Raw genomic sequence first — 21,093 nt, 5'->3', positions numbered from 1 at the left:
AGTCTCACTCTTGTCGCCCAGGCTGGAGTGTAATGGCACAATCTAGGCTCACTGCAACCTGTGCCTCTGGGGTTCCAGTGATTCTCCTGCCTCAGCCTCCCAAGTATCTGGGATTACAGGTGTGAGCCACTGCGCCTGGCCGGCACTTGAAATTTTAAGACAGTGGGTGCACCTCTTCCCTTCCATACTCTTTCTCTTTCCACCAGGTGGCATCCACAGCCCTCCAGCCTGAAGCATGCAGGCAGTGACAAGGCCTAGGGGATGACGTAACTGTACGATGGAAGAAAACTGGGTCCTAAATGGCAGGGTGGAACAGAACCAGGAAAGTTCGTGTCAGGCTGATAGAAAAGAGAGGGAAATAAACACCTATCTTCCTTAAGCCCACAGTGTCTCTTTACCATTTGGATGTTTTTATTATAGCAGCCTAACCTTACCTTAACTAACTATAACCCTCAAGTTCTGAAACAATTGAAAAATAAAACAAAAGAATATGGCTATGGAGGCCAGAATACTATCTTTATTATTATTATTTTAGAGATGGGGTCTTCTTCTGTTGCCCGGACTGGAATGCAGTGGTGTGATCTTGGCTCATTGCAATCTCCACCTCGTGGGTTCAGGCAATTCAAGCAATAATTCTCCTGAGTAGCTGGGACTACAGGTGCACACCACCACGCCCGGCTAATTTTTGTATTTTTTTTAGTAGAGACAGGGTTTCGCCATTATGGCCAGGCTGGTCTTGAACTCCTGACCTTATGTGATCCATCCCCCCCGCTCAGCCTCCCAAAGTGCTGGGATTACAGGCATGAGCCACCTTGCCCAGCCAGCCCTCTGTGTTTTAAGGCTGCAAAAGAAAACACTGCGGGCATTGGATCCCAGGGAAAGAATGGCCCAGTGGGCGGGTGCCTAAGGGGGTGAGGGGACCCTGAAGTCTCTCCCAAGGTGGGGAAAGCTGGGCGGACACCCCTCTGCTCTGTATCAGAGCCACTGGGGTGGGAGAGAATGTGCGGCACTCAGAGGAAGGAGTGAGGTCCCAGTGGGAGGCCCAGACGTCCCACAAATGTGGCAGGTGGACAGGCAGCTTGGAAAGCACAAATCCGCAGGATCGTGCCCATACGAGTGGAGGTGGGGGGGTCCCTCAGGTGCTCTGTGGGCAGATGCTCCCCTCTCTCTCCAGGTGGTTTCTGAGGGGCCACAGAACTTTGACCACTTTCCTCAAATACCCCTTTCTGTGTATCAAATAGTTCTGAACAATTTGAAAAGAAGTCCACGTTCTCCGCTTTGAGTCAATCTCTTGTTCCTTTGCATAACAAATCCCCCCTCTTCCTTACCCCAAGATGTGAGGTCAAAAGAGGGGTGTCCCCTCACAGCTCCAGCAAAAACCATTCCACTGTGCCGTAGGCCACTGGGGCTTTCAAAAGCCTCACTGTGGCTGGGTGCAGTGGCTCATGTCTGTAATCCCAGCACTTTGGGAGGTCGAGGTGCCAGATCATCCACTCTAGTCGGGTTCAAGACCAGCCTGACCAACATGGTGAAAACCCATCTTTACTAAAAATACAAAAAAATTAGCTGGTCGTGGTGGGGGGCACCTGTAATCCCAGCTACTTGGGAGGCTTAGGCAGGAGAATTGCTTGAACCTAGGAGGCAGAGATTGCAGTGAGCTGAGATTGCGCCATTGCACTCCAGCACAGACGACAGAACGAGACTCCGTCTCAAAAACAAACAAACACAAAACTAATACAATGTAAATGTCATGTCAATTGTTGTTATACTGCATTGTTGAGGGAATAATGAGAAGACAAAAATATCTGGACATGCTCAGTACAGAGACTTTTTTTTTTCATAAATTTACAATCCCAGATTGGTTGATTCCACTGGTGTACATCTCACGGACAGAAAGGGCCAACTGTTTAATTACAAACAAAAGTGAACCAATCCCATGTATACAGTTTAATGCATTTTCATAAACTGAGCACACCTGTTTCACCAGCTCCCAGGCCAAGAAAGAGAATCTGGGCAGCACCCAGGAAGCCCCTGACACCTTTTCCAGCCACTGCCCACCCAAACCTCGAGGCCCATATAGGTTTTTGGCCTGTTTTGTACCACCTGTGAAGGAAATCTTACGGTGCTCTTCAGTATATTTTTTCAGTCTTGCACCTGTGGGTTCATTCTCCCTGCCCCGCCCTGTTGCTCCTGAGTGTGAGGAAGCCACAGGAATGGCCTGTTCCTGTTTTCTTCGGAGTGAGAGAGTGGGCGTGGGCTTTCTGAAGTGCACTGCCCAGTGACATGGGCAGGGGGATGGGGGCGTGTTCTGGGGACTAGGCTTTTATCTGATTCTCAGGGTCTAGATGCAGGGATAGATGTGGGAAAGGAAAATTAATAAATTTCAAATCGCAAGACCCCAAAGTCACTAAGTCAAAGGGAAAAGTCAAACTGGGAACTGAGTCAGGCAAAGCTGCCTCCTATTTTATTCCTTCATTAAGAAACTACAAAGAGCTACATACTTCCTTCACAATTTACCCACAGGGAAATTGCCTGTGAGCCTCAATTCACCCTGGCAATGTAAATTGATAGCTTATCTTCACAGGTGCGGGACAAAGGCTAGAACTCAAAGTCATCCCTCTGCTCACCTGAGACAAATGCATACCTGATTTCTCCTTCTGCCGTATTGTTTATGTAAAAATGCAGATTCACTGAGCCAGACTGAGGCATAAGTCGACTATTCCTCTACCCCACTCTCACATGTAAATTGTGTTTTCAGTGAAAGGCTGAACAAAGATTCAAAAGAAGGCAACCTTTTGTCTCTTATCCACCTAAGACCTGGGACCCCCACAACCCCCCTTCGAGTTGTCCTGCCTTTCCAGAGCAAACCAATGTTCATCTCACATGTATTAATCAATGTCTCATGTCTCCCTAAAATGTATAAAACCAGGCCGGGCGCGGTGGCTCATGCCTATAATCCCAGCACTTTGGGAGGCCTAAGCGGGCAGATCATGAAGTCAGGAGTTCGAGACCAGCTTGACCAACATGGTGAAACCCCGTCTCTACTAAAAATACAAAAATTAGCTGAGCGTGGTGATGTGCACCTGTAATCCTAGCTACTCAGGAGGCTAAGGCAGGAGAATTGCTTGAACCCGGGAGGCAGAGGTTGCAGTGAGCCAAGATTATGCTATTGCACTCCAGCCTGGGCGACAGAGCCAGAGAGCGAGACTCCATCTCAAACAAAAAACCAGGCTTGGACACATGTCCTCAGGGGACCTCCTGAGGAGTGTCCTTAATCAGCTTTCTTTCATTCTTTCTTTTTGCGATGGAGTTTCGCTCTTTTGCCCAGGACGGAGTGAAGTGGCATGATCTCGGTTCACTGCAACCTCTGCCACCGCTAGGTTCAAATGATTTTTCTGCCTCAGCCTCCCAAGTAGCTGGGATTATAGGCACCTGCCACCACCCCCGGCTAATTTTTGTATTTTCAGTAGAGTCGGGGTTTCGCCATGTTGGCCAGGCTGGTCTCGATCTCCTGACCTCAGGTCATCAAACTGCCTAGGCCTCCCAAAGTGCTAGGATTACAGGCATGAGCCACTGTGCCTGGCCCTTAATCAGCTTTCTAAATTGATTGAAACGTTGACTGGGCACGGTGGCTCACACCTATCATCCCAGCACTTTGGGAGGCCGAGGTGGGTGGATCACCTGACATCAGGAGTTTGAGACCAGCCTGGTCTACGTGGTGAAACCCCATCTCTACTGAAAATACAAAAATTAGCAAGATGTGGTGTTGGGTGCCTGTAGTCCCAGCCACTCAGGAGGCTGAGGCAGGTGAATCGCTTGAACCCGGGAGGCAGAGGTTGCAGTGAGGTGAGATTGCATCATTGTACTCCAGCCTGGGCAACAAGAGCGAAACTCGATCTCAAAAAAAAAAAAGATTAAGTTGTTTGAGACCTGTCTCAGATACTTTTGCTTCACCGATAGGAGATAGAGGTTAAGAGCTTCTCTTTGTTCATGTCATTTCTGTGGCCCTGGGCTCTCAAGATCCCCTGTCCGCTTGTGGGGTCCCCAGCCCTGACATGTTTTATTGCACAGGCAGGAGTAGAGCTGCTGGGTCAGACCCAGCCCTGGGGACACCAGGGACGGTCATGCTGGCATTCAAGCCCAGTCCCGGCAGCTTGGGCTCCTCTTCTGAGCGTGCCAGTGGCCTCCTGGGGGCCAGCTCCTTGGAAACATGTTGGCCCTTCAGCTGCTCCCCAGGGCCCCCTCCCCCCAGGCCCGCTCCGCTCCCTCAACTTCTAAGTGTGGCTCAAACCTCCTTTCAGGGGTCAGGAAGCCATTCAGTGTGCACTGCCCGCTTCCTGTGGTCATCCCGCTCAGACCCTTGTCTGTATTTGCTCCCTCATCCTCGTCTTTTTGAATTTTGAAAGATCCCCTGAGGTGCAGCCTGCTGTAGGCCTCAGCCCAGGCTGGGAGCGGGAAGCTGGGGCTGTTTCCACGTCCTCAGAGCCTTTGTGCCCCTCCCTCTTCCAGCCCCTCCAGGGTGGTGGCAGCCAGAACAGCACCCGCTCTGTCCCCTCGGGTAGCCGGGACACGTCTTCCTGGGCCAGCTCTGAGCGCAACAAGCCACAGGTCCAACGCGCGCGATCTTCCAGTCCCACAATGCCCCCTCCCCGTCCCATTTCTGGCACTTAGACACGAGTCAAGGTAGAGGAGAAAAACCTGCTTTATTTTATTTTCACCATTTCTGGGGTGGCTATGGGGGAAGCGAGTGGCGCGCTTCGAGGGTGTTCGGAGCCATCAAGTTTCAGCGCTGGGAGAAGGTGGCTTCCGCGTCGCAGGCAGGGTCGGCGTGGCAGCCGTCTGGAGGAAGAGGTGGAGTCAGGGGAATCCCGGCCGCACCCCCGCCCGCCTCCCCCTGGCCCCGGAGCGCCTTGCCCCGCTCACCCGGGCTGCAGCAGAGGCCCAAGACCGCGCAGCGGCCCCCGCTCCCGCACGCCTTCTGGCCGGACTGGCAGGGCGACGGCAGGTAGTTCTCCTCCTGGCAGCGCAGCGCTTCGGCGGTGCCCACGAAGCAGCCCAGCTCTTCCGCGCAGCAGATATTGGGCCCGAAGCAGCGGCCTTTGCCCCCGGGGCCGCAGGGGAGGCACTGCGGGGACGGGCGGGGTGAGCGGGAGCCGGGGCGGCGCTGGGGACTCGCTCGGAGGACCCTGCGAGGCCGGCCGGGGTGCGCCGGGCAAGGATGCTGGGGTCCGGGGTTCGGAGTTCGGGCGGGACAGCGGGGCTGAGACGCGCTGGGGCGCCGTGGGGGCCTCGACCGCGGTCAAGGGCGGGGCGTCAAAATCCGCTCAGCTCCTGGAGTTCTCAGGCGAGGCCGGAGCGGGGCGCGCCCCTGTGGCTGCGGGTCCCTCCCTCCCCGGAGCGCCGCGGGACCAGGGCTGGGGACTCACCTTGCGCACGTCGAGGTCCGGCGCGGCCCTCTTGCCTCCCAGGGGGCAGTTCTGGATGTAGCAGGCGGAGGTCAGCGCCAGGAGGCCGAGCAGACAGCAAGCGAGGCTGGGGCCGGCCATGGTGCGGGTGCGCTGGGTCCAGGGTCCGTGACTGGTGGCGGTCTCTCCGGCCTGGCCTTTTTATGCCTGGGCATTGCGTCGGTGGAGCTCTGTTTAAGAGGTTGGTAGTATGATTGGTCACAGAGGGTCGCCGTGGGTCAGGCCGAGTGCGTACGGGCTTTCCTCTTCATTAGCAGGGCCTGGGCCGGGGTCAAGGTCACCGCGTTGGCTAATGGTCTGGGCACAGAAGGTGAGGTGCCTTGCGGAAGGGAGCAGGCCGGGGTGGCCTGGGCCACTAGGGTGGGACAGGGAGAATTTGGGGTGGGGTGTGGCCCAGCCGAAGACTTTATCCAGCCTCCCAGTACCTCGAGGAGGGGGGCTGGGGCAGGGAAGGTGGACGCTGGGACCCCTCCAGGTGGGAGGAGGCTCTGGCAGGATCCGCCCACCCTCTTGGCCCACCACGCATGTGGATCATTGTCCCCTCTTTTAGGAACATTTCCTCTTCCTAAACCCAAATTTCCAGAAAACCTCTTCACCCTCACCACACAGCAACACCCACTTCCCTGCACCTGAAACTTGGATAGGAAGAGATCACATCTGTCTCTAATCTGTAACTGATATTCCACCTTTCCTTTCACTATAAATTAGGCAACAAACCACAGCAGAATTAGCAATACCTGTGGCTTTGTCACAAATCAAAATAGAAGATAACTTCCTATCACAGCTGTCACAAATGCCTCTATATACTGTTTAGATTCATTATATCTTCAAAATTATCACAGTTATTGGGCCACGACCAGATCTTGCTATCTAATGGTTAAAGAAGCACGTTTATGACACCATCAAAATGTGTTTTGGCTGGGCGCTGTGGCTCACGCCTGCAATCCCAATACTTTGGGAGTCTGAGGTGGGCAGATCACTTGAGACCAGAAGTTCAAGACCAGCCTAGGCAACATAGCGAGAACCCCCAACTCTACAAAAAATACAAAAATTAGCTGGGCGTGTTGGTGTGCTCCTGTAGTCTCAGCTGCTTGGGAGGCTGAGGCAGGAGTACCGCTTAAGCCTGGGAATTCAAGACTGCAGTGAGCTGTGATCGTACCACTGCACTCCAGCCAGAGTGACAGAGCGAGAGCGAGACCCTGTCTCAAAAAAAAAAAAAGTGTTTTAACATTTTGATATCTGAATATAAATATATATATTTTTTTCTTGAGACGGAGTCTCGCTCTGTCGCCCAGGCTGGAGTGCAATGGCGGGCGCCATCTTGGCTCACTGCAACCTCCACCTCCTGGTTTCAAGCGATTCTCCTGTCTCAGCCTCCCAAGTAGCTTGGATTACAGACATGCACCACCACGCCTGGCTAATTTGTGTATTTTCAGTAAAGACGGGGGTTTCACCATGTTGACCAGGCTGGTCTCGAACTCCTGACCTCAGGTGATCCACCCGCCTCAGCCTCCCAAAGTGCTAGGATTACAGGCTTGAGCTGCTGTGCCTGGCCCTGTAATTGGTTTCTTTTGTAATTCTATTTCTCTCATTTTCGACATTAAAATTTTTTTTGGCTGGGCGTGGTGGTTGACCAACCTGGCCAACATGGTGAAACCCCATCTCTACTAAAAATATAAAAATACAAAAATTAGCTGGGCGTGAGGTAGGCACCTGTAATCACAGCTATTCAGGAGGCTGAGGCAGGAGAATCAGTTGAACCCAGGAGGCGGAGGTTGCAGTGAGCCAAGATCATGCCACTGCACTCCAGCCTAGGTGATAGAGCGAGACTCCGTCTCAAAAAAATAAAAATTTTTTTTTTTGCATTTTTAATATATCTCAAAAGGAAAATAATTAAAAGAAAAGATGGATTACCCCAGTGGGAGAGGTATTGGTAGATATCATGAACAAGAAAGGAAAGGCGCTGCTCAACTCTCCCTTTGTGAAAGCACCTGCCACCCAGCTGCTGGGAGTGCCCTCTGCAGGTGGCCCTCAGGGGTAGCTCCTCGAGAGCCTGCTTCAGCTGCAGAGAGCTGCCTGGCTCAGGGTCACACCCTTCCCAGGTGGCCCGCATCCAATGACTGGTCCATTTTGGCCCAAATGCAGGATAACTCTGAAGGAGCATTTTGGCTCCAGAGCTCCCTATGGGGTCAGCTGTGGTCTGCATAGCAGTTCTCCCTCTGCTCACTCCTATTTTTGACCCCTCCCTCCCAAAGGTGTGGGTCCCCAGGGCCTTCTGTAATAAAAACCCCCTTTGTGAAACCATCTCCGTCTGCTCTCTAGGGAACCCAACCTGTAGGGAACCCAACCTGAGGCAGAATGGAAGAAATGAGAAGCACTGTGAGAGACCAGCCTCACTGGTGGGCCAGTCCCCGACCCCTGGGAGAAGAGAACGGGACAGCTCCAGACTCTCCTGCCCTCTTGTTGAGGAAGGTGAAGAGGCTGATGGGGCCAAGCAGGTCACAGAGCTCATCTGACCCTAGTCACTGGCATGAGTCACTGGCATGAGCTGTCCAGCACCCAGGAGCCGGTCAGGCTGACCTGCATTACAAATCAGCAGCCAGTCCTCTCTCACCCAGATTAGCTTATTGGCATTCAGGGCCTAGAAGTCCAAGGGCCTGACCCAGCAGTGGCCCAGAGAGGTCTCTCACCTGCTCTGTGGGCACGATGACCTCACTTAAGCTAACACATGTGCATAAATTACCATAGTATTATGTCCCCCAGATGGGCTGCATCCCTTCACCTGTTCAACAACCCCTCTTCTGAAGATGCTCCGGGTCCCATTACAAATGCCTGGAAACAGCAGCAACAAAACACAAAAACCTCTGCCCTCATGGGGCTTATATTCTAGTGGAGGAAGAGAGATGTTAAACAATAAACACATTTCAGTTAGTTAGGAAACAAGTATAAACAATAAACATACTTCAGTAACAACATACATATTGCAGTAGATTAGTAAGTGCTACAGAGATAAAAGGGAGGCCTGTTGCGATTTCACCGAGGGTGGTCAGTGTAGACTTCTTTGTGAAGAAGAGAAAATAAACCATGCAGATATCTGAGGGGACATTGGTTTTCTGTTGCTGTGTAACAAATTACCACAGGCCAGGCACGGTGGCTTGTGCCTGTAATCCCAGCACTTTGGGAGTCTGAAGCGAGAGGATCACTTAAGCCCAGGAATTAGAGACCAGCCTGGGCAACATAGGGAGACCCAGGCTCTATAAAATGTTTTTAAAAAATTAGCTGGGTTTGTTGGCATGCACCTGCAGTCCCAGCTACTTGGGAGGCTGAGACAGGAAGATCACTTGAGCCCAGGAGTTCGAGGCTGCAGTGAACTAGGATGATGCCACTGCACTCCAGCCTAGGCGACGGAGCGTGACTCTGTCTCAAAACGAAAACAAAAACACAAAAGCTACCACAATTTGGCAGCTTAAAACAACATTTGCTTATTACATTGGGCCAGGCATGGCTTAGCTGGGTCTTTTGCTCTGGGGCTACGATCAGGGTGTCAGCCAGGCTGCATTCATTTCCAGAGCCCGGGTGATTGTTAGCAGAATTCATTTCCTTGCAGCTGTCAAACTCGTGGTGGCCTGCTTCTTCAAGGTCAGGAACAGAGAGAGTCTCTGCTGCTTCAAGTCTAAGCACACAGGGAGTCCTTTTCTGAGGGGCACCTGACCTGATTAGGTCAGACCCACACGGATCACCACCCTTTTAACTCGGATTGATCAGGTGTCTTCATTACATCTGCAGAATCCCCTCACCTTTGCCATATAACGTAGTATAGTCGTGGTTATCACCTTTGTCATCTTCTTCTAATGTTTAGAAGAAAGTTGGCTGGGCACAGTGGGCCACGCCTGTTTTTGTTTTTGTTTTGAGACTGAGTCACGCTCCGTGGCCCAGGCTGGAGCGTGGTTGGCTGGGCGCGCTGGCTCCCAGCACTTTGGGAGGCCAGCGGTGGGTGGATCACTTGAGGTCAGGAGTTCGAGACCAGTCTGGCCAATATGGTGAAACCCCGTCTCTACTAAAAAAAATACAAACAAATTTAGCCGGGCGCAGTGGTGGAAGCCTTTAGTCCCATCTACTCGGGAGGTGGAGGAACCCAGGAGGTGGAGGTGGCAGTGAGCCGAGATCACGCCACTGCACTTCAGCCTGGGTGACAGAGTGAGACTCTGTCCGTCTCAAAAAAAAAAAAAAAAAGCTATGGGTTCTACCCACATGAAGCCAGAAAAGATTACACAAAGGTAATCATTGTGTAATCCACAGAAAGATACCAGGGGCTGAGAATTTCAGGGATCCACTTTAGCATTCTGCCTGTAATGGAGGGGAGGAAATGACAAGTGCTGAGGTCCTGAGGCAGGAATGTGCCTGGCATGTTCAAGGAGCAAGGAGGCCAGTGGTCCTGGAGCAGAGTGACTGAACTCCCGAGATCGGAAAGGTAACGTGGGACTGCACCTCACAGGGCTTGGGCTTTTCCTCCAAATGAAATGGGGGAATGAGAGGGAGTTCTGAGCCAGCTTACGATAACTTTGGATATAGTGCTGTGACAAGACTGTGGGGAACCAGGCGCGGTGGCTCACACCTGTTATCCCCGCACTTTGGGAGGCTGAGGTGGGTGGATCATGAGGTCAGGAGATCAAGACCATCCTGGCTAACATGGTGAAACTCCGTCTCTACTAAAAATACAAAAAAATTAGCTGGGCATGGTGGCTGGCGCCTGTAGTCCCAGCTACTCTGGAGGCTGAGGCAGGAGAATCGCTTGAACCCGGGAGGTGGAGGTTGCAGTGAGCCAAGATCGTGCCACTGCACTCCAGCCTGGGCGACAGAGCGAGACTCCTTCCAAAAAAAAAAAAAAAAGACTGTGGGGAAACTAGGGAGGAGGCTATGCAGCAATCCCTGTGAGTAATGGGAGTGCAATGTGTGTGTCGAGAAGTGACCTGATTCTTGGTGCATTTTAAAGGAGATACCAACTGCAGTTTGCTGATGGATTGGATGTGAGTGGGAGAGAAAAAGAGGAGTCGAAGATGACTTCAATATTTCTGGTCTGGGCCGGGTGGGATGGCTCATGCCTGTATTCCCAGCTACTCGGGAGGCTGAGACAGGAGAATCACTTGAACCTGGGAGGTAGAGGTTGCAGTGAACTGAGATAGCACCGTTGCACTCCAGCCTGGGTGAAACAGTGACTCTGTCTCAAAAAAAAGATTTCTGGGCCAGGAGTAGTGGCTCATGCCTGTAATCCCAGCACTTTGGGAGGCCAAGACTGGGGGGTCACCTGAGGTCAGGAGTTTGAGACCAGCCTGGCCAACATGGTGAAACCTCGTCTCCACTAAAAAATACAAAAATTAGCCAGGCATGATGGCGTGTGCGTGTAGTCCCAGCTACTAAGGAGGCTGAGGCAGGGGAATCACTTGAACCCGGGAGGCAGAGGTTGCAGTGAGCAGAGATGGTGCCACTGCACTCCAGCCTGGGCAACAGAGCGAGACTCTGTCTCAAAAACAAGAACAAAAACAAAACAAGATTTCTGGCTTGAGCAATGGGAAGGATGAAGGTGCCATCAGCTGGCATGGGAACCTGAGGGTGGCACTGATTTGAGTTGGGAAGAGCAGGGGCTCAGTGCGGACCTGTCATGTTTGGGATGCCCGCTACACATCCAAGAAGAACCTGAGCAGGCATTTGGAGGTGTGTCTGGAGTTCAGGAGAGAGGTCTAGGCTGAAGCAATGGTCAGTACCAATATTTATTTATCTTATTTATTTATTGAGACAGTTTCGCTCTTGTTGCCCAGGCTGGAGTGTAATAGCACAATCTCAGCTCACTGCAGCCTCTGCCTCCCGGGTTCAAGCGATTCTCCTGCCTCAGCCTCCTGAGTAGCTGGGATTACAGGCATGCACCACCACGCCCAGCTAATTTTGTATTTATGGTAGAGACAGGGTTTCTCCATGTTGGTCGGGCAGGTCTCAAACTCCCGACCTCAGGTGGTCTGCCTGCTTTGGCCTCCCAAAGTGCTGGGGTTATAGGCGTGAGCCACCGCGCCCAGCCAGTACCAATATTTAAAGGCCCCACCAGAGTGACATCACCCTGGGGCAGGACAGATGGAGAAGAGGACCAAGGATCCCACTCTAAGCAAGGTAGGGGGAAACAAGCAGGGGTCTGAGGACAGGGTTTCACGGAGGAGGAAGTGTGCCAGATGCCAAAGGACATGTAAGGGAGGGACTGAAACTTGAACTTCTTTATTTAAAAAACTCCAGTGAAGTGCAATTTACAGATCGTAATTTGTACGCACTCTAAGCGTACTGTTTGGTGATTTTTGGTAAATTCAAACAGTTGTCCAGCCACTCCCACAATCCAGTTTTAGAATACTCTGTCCCCATGTCAAGTTCCCCCATGCCCATTTGCCTTACTGCTGGCTCCCACCCCAGCCCCCAGGAAACCACTGATAAAGATTTGCCTTTTCTAGAAATGTCACCTAAATGGAACAATACAGTACTTGATCATTTATGTCTGGCGTTCTGAGGTTCATCCAAGTTATTTTGTGTATCAGTAGTGAAACTACCGATGCAAAATTCTAGCTGAGACAGTGAAAGAGATCTGTCCTAGCCAGTTCCATCTTGCTTTAACCTCCACGCTGTCCTTGTTCAATCCTGGGCGTAGGCTGAACTTACTTTGGGATGAACTTAGTACATAGTTTATAGTTTAAAACAAAGGCAGTAACAGCCCTTTCCCAAACCAAACCTCCTTCTTGCCTGGGGACTAGACTGCCTTGGTAGAACTAACATATTAGCCACAAGATTAGAAATTATGGTTTAGGAGTCATGCAGCTGGAGGCTAGAAGATTCTGACCCTCTCCAAATTGCTCCTGGGGATAGCATCACTATTGTCAAACCTAAGATCAGTGCTTGAGATATTTTGCAGACCTGCACTCTATGGATCAGTTAGCACCACCCAGATCAATAAACTGGCTCATCTGATATTGTGGCCCCCACCCAGGAACTCACTCAATGCAAGAGGACAGCTTCTTCTCCACCCCAGCCAATAAACACTCCTGACCCAATGACTGCCCCGCCACCCAGCACATTATTCTTAAAAACTCTGATTCCTGAATGCTCAGAGAGACTGTTTTGAGCAATAATGAAACTTCTGTCTCCTGCCCACCTGGCTCTGAGTGAATTACTCTTTCTGTATTGCAATTCCCCTGTCCTGATAAATTGGCTGTCTAGGCAGTGGGTAAGGTGAACCTGTTGGGCGGTTACAGTAGTTCATTCCTGTTTCATTCCTGTTTATTGTTTTTCTTTTTTTTCTTTTCACTTTGTTGCCCAGGCTGGAGTGCAGTGGTGCAATCTCAGCTCACTGCAGCCTTGACCACCCAGGCTCAAGTGATCCTCCCCCTTCAGCCTCCAGAGTAGCTGGGACTACATGTGCGCACCACCACGCCTGGCTAATATTTGTATTTTTTGTAGAGGGTCTCACTTTGTCACCCAGGCTGGAGTGCAGTGGCATGATCAGCTCACTGCAACCTCTGCCTCCCGGGTTCAAGTGATTCTCGTGCCTCAGCCCACAAAGTAGCTGTGATTACAGATGTGAGCCACGATGCCTGGCTAATTTTTGCATTTTTTGTAGAGATGGGGGTTTCACCGTGTTGCCCAGGCTGGTCTTGAACTCCTGAGCTCAAGCAATCCGCTTGCCTTGGCCTCCCAAAGTGCTAGGATTACAGGCGTGAGCCGCTGTGCCTGGCCTCATTGTCATTTTTATTTGCATTTTTCTGATGATTACTAATGTTGAGCAATTTTTTCATATACCTGTTGGCCATTTGTATGTCTTTTTTTATGTTATTTTATTTTTATTTATTTATTTTTAAAAAAATTTTTTAGTATTTATTGATCATTCTTGGGTGTTTCTCGGAGAGGGGGATTTGGCAGGGTCATAGGACAACAGTGGAGGGAAGGTCAGCAGATAAACACCTGAGCAAAGGTCTCTGGTTTTCCTAGGCAGAGGACCCTGCGGCCTTCCGCAGTGTTTGTGTCCCTGGGTACTTGAGATTAGGGAGTGGTGATGACTCTTAAGGAGCCTGCTGCCTTCAAGCATCTGTTTAACAAAGCACATCTTGCACCGCCCTTAATCCATTCAACCCTGAGTGGACACAGCACATGTTTCAGAGAGCACGGGGTTGGGGGTAAGGTTATAGATTAACAGCATCCCAAGGCAGAAGAATTTGTCTTAGTACAGAACAAAATGGAGTCTCCTATGTCTACTTCTTTCTACACAGACACAGTAACAATCTGATCTCTCTTTCTTTTCCCCACATTTCCCCCTTTTCTATTCGACAAAACCGCCATCGTCATCATGGCCCGTTCTCAATGAGCTGTTGGGTACACCTCCCAGACGGGGCGGCGGCCGGGCAGGGTATTTATTTATTTATTTTTTGAGATGGAGTCTCGCTCTGTCACCCAGGCTGGAGTGCAGTGGCCCAATCTTGGCTCACTGCAAGCTCCGCCTCCCGGGTTCACGCCATTCTCCTGCCCCAGCCTCCTGAGTAGCTGGGACTACAGACGCCTGCCACCACGACTGGCTAATTTTTTTTGTATTTTTTAGTAGAGATGGGGTTTCACCGTGTTAGCCAGGATGGTCTCCATCTCCTGATCTTGTGATCTGCCCGCCTTGGCCTCCCAAAGTGCTGGGATTATAGGTGTGAGCCACTGTGCCCGGCCTTTTATTTTATTTTTTAGAGACAGAGTCTCACTTTGTTGCCCAGGCTGGAGTACAGTGGCACGATCATAGCTCACTATAACCTCCAACTTCTAGGCTCAAGCATGCGTGTCTTCTTTTGAGATATCTATTCAGATCCTTTGGCCACTTTTTTTTTTTTTTTTTTTTTTTTGAGACAGTCTCGCTTTGTCACCCAGGCTGGAGTGCAAAGGCATGATCTTGGCTCACTGCAACCTCTGCCTCCCAGGTTCAAGCAATTCTCCTGCCTCAGCCTCCCGAGTAGCTGGGATTACAAGCGCACACCACCAGGCCCGGCTAATTTTTTGTATTTTTAGTAGAGACGGGGTTTCACCCTATTGGCCAGGCTGGTCTCAAATTCCTGACCTTATGATCCGCCCACCTCGGCCTCCCAAAGTGCTGGGATTACAGGCGTGAGCCACCGCGCCCAGCCCTTTGCCCACTTTTTACTGGGATTGTTTATGTTTTTGCTGCTGAGTTGTTTGAATTCCTTGTATATTCTGAATATTAGCCCCTTGTCAGATGAATGGTTTGTAAAGATTTCCTCCTGTTCTACAGGTTGTTTCTGTTGATTGCTTCCTTTGCTGTTCAGAAGCTTTTTAGTTGACTGTATTCCCATTTGTCTATTTTGTTGTTGTTGTTGTTGTTGACTGTGCTTTTGAAGTCTTAGCCATAAAATCTTTACCTGGACCAACGTCCTGAAGTGTTTTCCCTATGTTTTCTTCTAGTAGATTTATAGTTTCAGGTCTTATGTTTGTCTTTAAGCCATTTTGAGTTGAGTTTTGTACATTGTGAGAGATAGGGGTCTAGTTTTATTCTTCTACCTATGGATATCCTGTTTTCCCAGCATCATTTATTAAAGAGGATGTTCTTTCCCCAGTGTTTGTTCATGATGCCTTTGTCAAAAATCAGTTGACTGTAAACACATGGATTTATTTCTGGATTCTCCAGTCTGTTCTATTGGTCTGTGTCTATTTTTATACCAATAGCCTGCTGTTTTGATTACTACACCTTTGTAGTAAATTTTGAAGTCAGGTGGTGTGGTACCTCTAAGCTTTGTTCTTTTTGCTCATTATTGCTTTGGCTATTAAGTATCTTTTGTGGTTCCATACAAATTTTCAGATTGTTTTTTCTATTTCTGTGAAGAATGTCATTGGTATTTTGATAGGGATTGCACTGAATCTGTGGATTGCTTTGAGTAGTACAGTCATTTAACAATACTCTTCCAATCCATGAGCATGGGATGCCTTTCCATTTGTTTGTATCCTTTTCAATTTTTTTTCTTTTTTTTTTTTTTTTTGAGATGGAGTCTTGCTCTGTCGCCCAGGCTAGAGTGCAGTGGCACGATCTCGGCTCACTGCAACCTCCGCCTCCCAGGTTCAAGGAATTCTCCTGCCTCAGCCTCCGGAGTAGCTGGGACTACAGGCGCCTGCCACCACGCCCGGCTAATTTTTTATTTATTTTAGTAGAGATGGGGTTTCACCATCTTGGCCAGGCTGGTCTCGAACTTCTGACCTTGTGATCCACCCGCCTCAGCCTCCCAAAGTGCTGGGATTACAGGTGTGAGCCACGGCGCCCGGACTTCAATTTTTTTTTATCAGTGTCTTATAGTTTTCATTGTAAAGGCCTTTCACTTAATTATTAGTAATTAAGTTTTGGGGGGGTCAAACGTTATATGTGAATTTTCTAGTGTGCAGGGTTTTGGCATCCATAGCCTCCACATTCTTCAAGGATCAACTGTATTTTGTTGAGGATTTTTGCATCTATGTTTATCAGGTATATTGGCCTGTAGTTTTCTTTTGTTGTTGTGTGTGTCCTAGTCTGGTTTTGGTGTCTGGGTAACGCTGGCCTCATAGAATGAGTTAGAAAAAAATTCTCTTCAATTTTTAGGAATAGTTTGAGAAGAATGGGTGTTAGTTCTTTATAAATTGGTAGAATTCCACAGTAAAGCCATCTGGTCCTGAGCTTTTCTCTGTTGAGAGACTTTTAATTATTGATTCAATGTGGTTACTCATCATTGATCTCTTCAGGTTTTCTATTTTTTTCCTGGTTCAATCTTGGTAGGTTGTTTGTGTCCAGGAATTCATAGATATCCTCTAGGGTTTCCAATTTGTTAGTGTATAGTTGTTCATAATAGTTTCTAATGATCCCTTGTATTTCTGTGATATCAGTTGTATGTCTCCTTTCTCATTTCTAATTTTATTTGGGTCTTCTCTCTTTTTTTCTAGGTTAGTCCTGGTAGTGGCTTATTGATTTTTTTTTTTTTTTTCTCACACACCAAGCACAGGTTTGTGGATTTTGTTTATATTTTTTAAAAAACAAGTTTTTATTTCATTGACCCTTTGTTTCCCTTTTTTAGTCTCTATTCTGTTTAGTTCTGCTCTGATCTTTATGTTTCTTTCCTTTGGGTTTGGTTTATTCTTGCTTTTCTAGCTCCTTGAGGAGCATCATGAGGTTGTTTACTTGAAGTCTTCCTACTTTTTTTGATGTAGGCATTTGTTGTTATATAGTAGGCTATTAATGACTGTTCCAATAATTTTGGCTTCCAAATGATTGGAAACTGAAAGCATGCAAGGCCGGTGTGGTGGCTCACACCTGTAATCCCAGCACTTTGGGAGGCAGAGGCAGGCAGATCACCTGAGGTCAGGAGTTCAAGTACAGCCTGGCCAACATGGTGAAACCCCGTCTCTACTAAAAATACAAAAATTAGCTGGGTGTGGTGGCGGGTGCCTGTAATCCCAGGAGGCAGAGGTTGCAGTAAGCCAAGATCGCACCATTGCACTCCAGCTTGGGCAACAAGAACGAAACTCCGTCTCAAAAAATAAATAAATAAATAAATAAAAGCATGCAGGATATCAGTCACTTATAACAGTCATTTTTTCCCCAATTTTATGGAATTGCATGGAATTTTTTTTTCATCTATTCATTTTCAGTCTATGTGTGTCTTTACGGGTGAAGTGAATTTCTGATAGGCAGCATACAATTGGGTCTTTTTTTTTTTTGGACAGGGTGGTGGTAACAGCAATCTGTTTGGGCCAGTCCCCAGGCCCCTGGGTGGCGTGCTGGTACTGACTGGCAGCAGCAGGCTGGGTGGGCCAGTGCCTGGGCCTCTGGGAGATGCACACAGGAATCAGTGGTAGGCAAGGTGGACCTGTCCTTGGGCTCCTGGACAGTGTGCATGTGTGGCATGCACACCAGTGGCAGTGAAGTGGGTGGATCAATCCCTAGGTCTCTGGACAGTACACATGGACGGCAGCAGTAGGTGGGGTGAGCCCATCCTCAGGTCCCTGGAAGGCGTGCATGTGTGCTGACAGTGCAGGTCAACCCCCAGACCCCTGGATGACATGCATGGGTACTAGCATTGACATCAGTAGGTAGGGTGGGACCCTTAGGCCCCTGGATGGTGCACACGGGTGGTGATGGTGGTGGGCTGGGCAGATTGAATCTCAGGCCCCTGGATGATGTGCACAGGTGCTGGCAGCAATGGTGGTGGTGAAGGGCAGGGCAGGCCTGTTTTCAGCCCCCCAGATGGTGTGCATGGGCACTGGCAGTGGCAGATAGGATGGATTGATCCCCAGGCCCTGGAAGGCATGCTCGGGCACCAGTGGCAATGGTGGTGGGCAGGGCGAGCCTGTCCTCAGATGTCCTCTGCACCTGCAACCGATGTGTGGGCTATTTCCACACAGCCAGTGGAGTGGGAGAGAATGGTAGCCCCACCAAAGAAAAATAATTCATGACCAGTATTTTTTCAGTTTTTTTCCCCCAGCTTTATTGAGGTATAATTGACAAATAAAAATAGAGTATACTCAGCCGGGCACGGTGGCCCACGCCTGTAATCCCAGCACTTTGAGAGGCCAAGGTGGGCGGATCACTTGAGGCCAGGAGTTCAAGACTAGCCTGGCCAACATGTTGAAACCCTCCACTAAAAATACAAAAATTAGCTGGGCATGGTGGTGGGCGTCTGTAATCCCAGCTACTTGGGAGGCTGAGGCAGGAGAATTGCTTGAACCTAGGAGATGGAGGTTGCAGTGAGCCGAGATCATGTCACTGCACTCCAGTCTGGGTGACAAGAGCAAAACTCTGTCTCAAACAAACAAACAAACAAAAAAAGTATATATTTTCTCACACTTGTAATCCCAGCACTTTGGGAGGCCGAGGTGGGAGGATCACCTGAGGTCAGGAGTTCGAGACTAGCCTGGCCAACATGGTGAAACCCCTCTCTACTAAAAATACAAAAATTAGCCAGGTGTGGTGGTGCACACCTGTAGTTCCATCTACTCAGGAGGCTGAGGCAGGAGAATTGCTTGAGCCTGGGAGGCGGAGGTTGCAGTGAGCCGAGATCACTCCACTGCACTCCAGCCTGGGTGACAGAATGATACTCCGTCTCAACATAAAAAAGGAAAACAAACAAACAACAACAACAAAAAACAAAAAACAAACCCAAGGGACTTCTGATGTGAGTATCCACTGAAGCTTACTACAGGTCCACATAGCATTCTGGTTAACTGTGGACATCTTGAGTACCAGTTCTACTGGATCTACTGGATCATAAGGCCCAAAGTACAGAGTGGCCTGCCTTGCAACTGGATCTCTTAAGCTGTCTTCTCTTGCCCTAAATGCCCCTCAAAGCTGGCAGCACTTCTAGTCCTGACGAGCAGAACATTCAAATGTGGCCAGTGTTGACTCCAAAATTCAGAGGTTCACCATGCAACATGTCTCCTTTTTAGAGATAAAGAATGCAAGGTACAGTAACTTGTCCATCATTTTTTTGGTGAAAAGACAATCTGCCAGGCTCAGTGGCTCATGCCTATAATCCCAGCACTTTGGGAGGCCAAGGTGGGCAGATCACTTGAGCCCAGGAGTTTGAGACCTGCCTGGGCAACATGGTGAAACCCTGTCTCTACAAAAAAATATAAAATTAGCCAGGAGTGGTGGCATGCGCCTGTGGTCCCAGCTACTCAGGAGGCTGAGGTGGGAAGATCGCTTGAGCCTGGGAGGTCTACGCTGCAGTGAGCTGAGATTGCACCACTGTACTCCAGCCTGGGTGACAGAGCAAGACTCAGTCTCAAAAAAAAAGAAAAAAAAAAAAAAGACAAACTGTTTTGGTATTACTATAAGAACAACACACATATTTACAGAAGACCGGGCATTCATGTGATGCCCTTTCTACCTTCGTGGCCAAATTTATGCAGTCACACTTCACTGTGTCATCTTCTCCTTGGGAAATATTTCTCCTTCACTTTTCTTGAGTAAAAATTTCACAAAGTGTACAAATCTTTTTTTTTTTCTTTCCCCGAGACAGAGTCTTGCTTGTTGCCCAGGCTGGAGTGCAGTGGTGCGATCTTAGCTCACTGCAACCGCCGCCTCCTTGGTTCCAGCGATTCTCCTGCTTCAGCCTCCCGAATAGCTGGGATTACAGGTGCCTGCCACCATGCCCAGCTGATTTTTTTTTTTTTTTTTTTTTTTTTTTTTTTGAGACGGAGTCTCGCTCTGTCGCCCAGGCTGGAGTGCAGTGGCGGGATCTCGGCTCACTGCAAGCTCCGCCTCCCGGGTTCACGCCATTCTCCTGCCTCAGCCTCCCAAGTAGCTGGGACTACAGGCGCCCGCCACTACGCCCGGCTAATTTTTTTGTATTTTTAGTAGAGACGGGGTTTCACCGTTTTAGCCGGGATGGTCTCGATCTCTTGACCTCGTGATCCGCCCGCCTCGGCCTCCCAAAGTGCTGGGATTACAGGCGTGAGCCACCGCGCCCCAGCTGATTTTTGTAGTAGAGATGGGGTTTCCCCATGTTGGCCAGGCTGGTCTTGAACTCCTGACCTCAGGTGATCTGCCTGCCTCAGCCTCCCAAAGTGCTAAGATTATATGTGTGAGCCACTGACCATGCCTGGCCAATTTTTTTGTATTTTTAGTAGAGATGGGGTTTTGCCATGTTGGCCAGGCTGGTCTCAAACTCCTGAGCTCTAGCATTCCGCCTGCCTTGGCCTCTCAAAGTGCTGGGATTATAGGCGTGATCCACCACAACGGGCCATGAAGATAGTCTATTTGAAAATACATAATGAGAGGAGAAAAAGGAATGAAAAAGAATGAGGATCACCTACAAGATGTAGAAAACTACCTCAGTAGACCAAATCTAAGAATTATTGGTGTTCAAGAGGGAGTTGAGCAAGAGCAAGGGGTAGAAGAAAGCTTATTGAAAGAAGTAATAACAAGCTGGTATGGTAGCTCGTGCCAGTAGTTCCAATGTTTTGGGAGGCCGAGGCAGGAGGATTGCTCAAGGCCAGGAGTTCATGACCAGCCTGGGCAACATAGTGAGACCTTGTCTCTACAAAAAAGAAGATAAAAAATTAGGGAGGCATTACAGGTGGTGCACACCTGTAATCCCAGCTACTTGGGGGCTGAGGCAGGGAGGATCACTTGAGTTCAAGAGTTTACAGCTACAGTGAGCTGTTAACGTGCTACTGCACTACAGCATGGGCAACAGAGTGAGACCTTGTCTCCATGTCTCCAAAAAAAGAATAATAACAGAAAACTTTCCCAAACTTGAGAAAGATATAAATATCCAGTTACAGGAAGGCCAAAGAACAGATTTGACCCTCTCCTCTTCCCAAAAAACACTTGAAAGTATAAAACCTATTGGTAAAATTAAGTACACAAACCTATTTAATAGCCTAATATTGTATGTGGAATGCAATCCACTCATAACTCTAGTATGAAGCCCAAAAGACAAATCTATCAAAACAATAATAGCCATAGCAGTTTGTTAAGAGATACATAATAAAAAAATATGTAAATTGGCCGGGCGCGGTGGCTCATGCCTCTAATCCCAACACTTTAGGAGGCCGAGGTGGGCAGATCACCTGAGGTAGGGAGTTTGAG

General features: G+C 49.3%; 1 protein-coding gene and 1 long non-coding RNA gene across 3 annotated transcripts, besides 4 other annotated features; one reads left to right on the top strand and one right to left on the bottom strand.

Annotated features, from left to right (window-relative positions):
• Window positions 3,796–4,331: an enhancer, noted in NCBI's record as "H3K4me1 hESC enhancer chr20:3053517-3054052 (GRCh37/hg19 assembly coordinates)". NCBI's record gives its function as "activates a minimal SCP1, AML or CMV promoter by ChIP-STARR-seq in naive H9 embryonic stem cells {active_cell/tissue: H9 hESC(naive)}" and the evidence as "EXISTENCE:reporter gene assay evidence [ECO:0000049][PMID:30033119]".
• Window positions 4,685–5,582, bottom strand: OXT (oxytocin/neurophysin I prepropeptide). The gene is made up of 3 exons (NM_000915.4): window positions 5,427–5,582; window positions 4,924–5,125; window positions 4,685–4,839 (listed from the first exon to the last, which is right to left on the bottom strand). Exons 1-3 carry the CDS (start codon window positions 5,544–5,546, stop codon window positions 4,784–4,786), a joined length of 378 nt encoding a protein of 125 aa, NP_000906.1. The 5' UTR covers window positions 5,547–5,582; the 3' UTR covers window positions 4,685–4,783.
• Window positions 4,807–4,916: a silencer, noted in NCBI's record as "silent region_12613". NCBI's record gives its function as "represses an Ori minimal core promoter by ATAC-STARR-seq in GM12878 lymphoblastoid cells {active_cell/tissue: GM12878}" and the evidence as "EXISTENCE:reporter gene assay evidence [ECO:0000049][PMID:35858748]".
• Window positions 4,903–8,568, top strand: LOC101929098 (uncharacterized). 2 transcript variants are annotated; one of them, XR_430278.4, is made up of 2 exons: window positions 4,903–5,005; window positions 7,788–8,568. It is a non-coding gene; the product is annotated as an uncharacterized LOC101929098 (long non-coding RNA). The 2 variants fall into 2 exon arrangements; XR_007067503.1 differs by lacking the exon at window positions 4,903–5,005 and adding an exon at window positions 5,579–5,646.
• Window positions 17,086–17,585: an enhancer, noted in NCBI's record as "H3K4me1 hESC enhancer chr20:3040263-3040762 (GRCh37/hg19 assembly coordinates)". NCBI's record gives its function as "activates a minimal SCP1, AML or CMV promoter by ChIP-STARR-seq in naive H9 embryonic stem cells {active_cell/tissue: H9 hESC(naive)}" and the evidence as "EXISTENCE:reporter gene assay evidence [ECO:0000049][PMID:30033119]".
• Window positions 17,586–18,087: an enhancer, noted in NCBI's record as "H3K4me1 hESC enhancer chr20:3039761-3040262 (GRCh37/hg19 assembly coordinates)". NCBI's record gives its function as "activates a minimal SCP1, AML or CMV promoter by ChIP-STARR-seq in naive H9 embryonic stem cells {active_cell/tissue: H9 hESC(naive)}" and the evidence as "EXISTENCE:reporter gene assay evidence [ECO:0000049][PMID:30033119]".

The sequence above is a fragment of the Homo sapiens genome, chromosome 20 (assembly GCF_000001405.40).
Source record: "Homo sapiens chromosome 20, GRCh38.p14 Primary Assembly".
NCBI classification, from domain to species: Eukaryota; Metazoa; Chordata; class Mammalia; order Primates; family Hominidae; genus Homo; species Homo sapiens.
This window is presented reverse-complemented; position numbering and strand designations above follow the sequence as displayed.